This window comes from Homo sapiens, chromosome 1, assembly GCF_000001405.40.
Source record: "Homo sapiens chromosome 1, GRCh38.p14 Primary Assembly".
In the NCBI taxonomy this organism is placed as follows: Eukaryota; Metazoa; Chordata; class Mammalia; order Primates; family Hominidae; genus Homo; species Homo sapiens.
The window spans coordinates 119,325,498-119,325,972 of NC_000001.11; positions in this window are offsets into that span (position 1 = coordinate 119,325,498).

Below are 475 nucleotides of genomic sequence, written 5' to 3' on the forward strand. Positions count from 1 at the left end.
TGCCCCCTCATTTTACAACTGAAGAAACTGAAGACAGAGAGGTGAGTGACAGGTGGCTTTCACACAGTAGATTATAAAAAAACTTTCTTGAGTGAGAGATATTAAAAAAGAGAAATGCAGTCCATTAAGGGAACTTTCTGCTTTTGCTCCTCTACATGGTGAATGTAGTACCTATGTCAGAGGCATTGGAACCAGACCTTGAATAGGAGCAGCATAAAATGAGGCTGAGACCTGCTGGGCTACATCCCCAGGTGGTTGGGCATTCTTAGTCACAGGGTAAGGTAGGAGGTTGGCACAAGATACAGGTCACAAAGACCCCAGTAATAAAACAGAATGCAGTAAAGAAGCCAGCCCAAACCCACCAAATCCAAGATGGCAAAAGTGACCTCTGATCCTTCTCACTGCACATTATATGCCAATAATAATGCATTAGCATGCAAAAAAGACATTCCTTAGAGTGCCAAGACAGTTTATA